The sequence below is a fragment of the Homo sapiens genome, chromosome 1 (assembly GCF_000001405.40).
Source record: "Homo sapiens chromosome 1, GRCh38.p14 Primary Assembly".
NCBI lineage: Eukaryota > Metazoa > Chordata > Mammalia > Primates > Hominidae > Homo > Homo sapiens.
This window is the reverse complement of record NC_000001.11, coordinates 4,069,097-4,070,591: the sequence shown is the minus strand read 5'-3', so window position 1 is coordinate 4,070,591 and position 1,495 is coordinate 4,069,097.

The window sequence follows — 1,495 nt, the reverse complement described above, 5'->3', positions numbered from 1 at the left end:
ACAGAATTCATGGCTACCACATTGTCTTAAGAAGAAATGTTAAATACACTCTTTTAAATTGGAAAGTTAATGAAAATCAGATATAAAGAAAACAAGAAAACAAACTGTTAAAAGAGAACAAACTGTAACTAATTAAATTATTGTAGCTCATAAACCAGATTTGCATAGGAAATATTGTAGTCCTGTTAAATTTCTTTGCCTTCTACCTATAAAGCAATACCTTCACTTTTAATTTCAGAACACTGACCCCATTTCTCCAGAGTCTGTGTCTCCAGGATGGCTATTCCCAGCTTTTTGCTTAAATAGACTCTTTAAAACTGGATTCTGATCCTTTTGATCGTTTCAAGTTGACACCATACTGTCTTCATAACTTTTCTGTAAATCTAAACTATTAAAAATTAGACATGTATTAATAAAAAAGAAAAATTACTTAAGGATGTAGTTCCTCCCCACCCACCATAAAAAAAGAAGTAAGAAATTGGAGGATCCAATTCAGGGGAGAGATGAAGGCTATCCCAAGATGTTAATGGACGAGCCATCCTGGGATGCAGTTGCTTCATTTGGAGCTTGCAAAAGAATTCCCAGAGGGAGTTGCCTGTTTTTTTGTTTTTTTTTTTTAATGAAATTTCAGAGACTTGTTACTGTTACAGAGAGGCTACAGGAATTTAAGGGTAAGCTAATGATAGACCATGCAAGAAAAAAAAAGGAAACTAGAATTTTCTGAGGGAAAAATACATACAAGAAAAAAGAAATCATAGTTCACTATGTGGCTATGCAGTGAATAATATTTACAAATTACAAAAGTGCAAACACAATCTGCTAATATTTTTTAACTTGTAGAATCAAGCTACAGGTAACACCTTGAAGATTTAATTACCGTTTCAACCCAGGTTGTGTTACAGTGGCTGGGATTCATGAAGCCTCTTCCCCAGCGTACAGGTTGCTTGAGGGGAAAAGGAGGACCTTATTTTTGCACGTGGTCAGCCAGTAGGTGCTCAGCTGCTCTACAGGTGGCACAATGAAGTGGTTATAAGTGTGAGCTTTGAAGTTCAACAGTCAGATCCCACTGTGGGCTCGGATACTCGGTAGCTTTGGAAGACCGAACAAATAATTTAGCTCCTCTCTGCCTGAATTTGCTCATTTGCTCATCAACCAACATGAATGTACTAAGGATTAAAGTAGACTATATATGTAAAACAGCACAATGCCCAGACATCATCAACACACTGCATAATTAGTTGCTATTGTTACCTTGTAAGCAAAGAAAGGAAGACAATTAGTTTTGCTTTTTCTGGGGAATAAAGGAAAGAAAAGATACTCCTGGAAGTGCAACTCAATGACCAAGCCCTGAAATAAAATTTTTTAAAAAACAACACTCTGGGCTTTTATCACCTTCAAGAGACAGGGTCTGAGGAAGGCCTGCCTCTGCACAAAAGCTCAAGGACTCTAAGAACTCAACCTTCTCGATCCTAAAAATGCATCTGCTGGCCTGCTC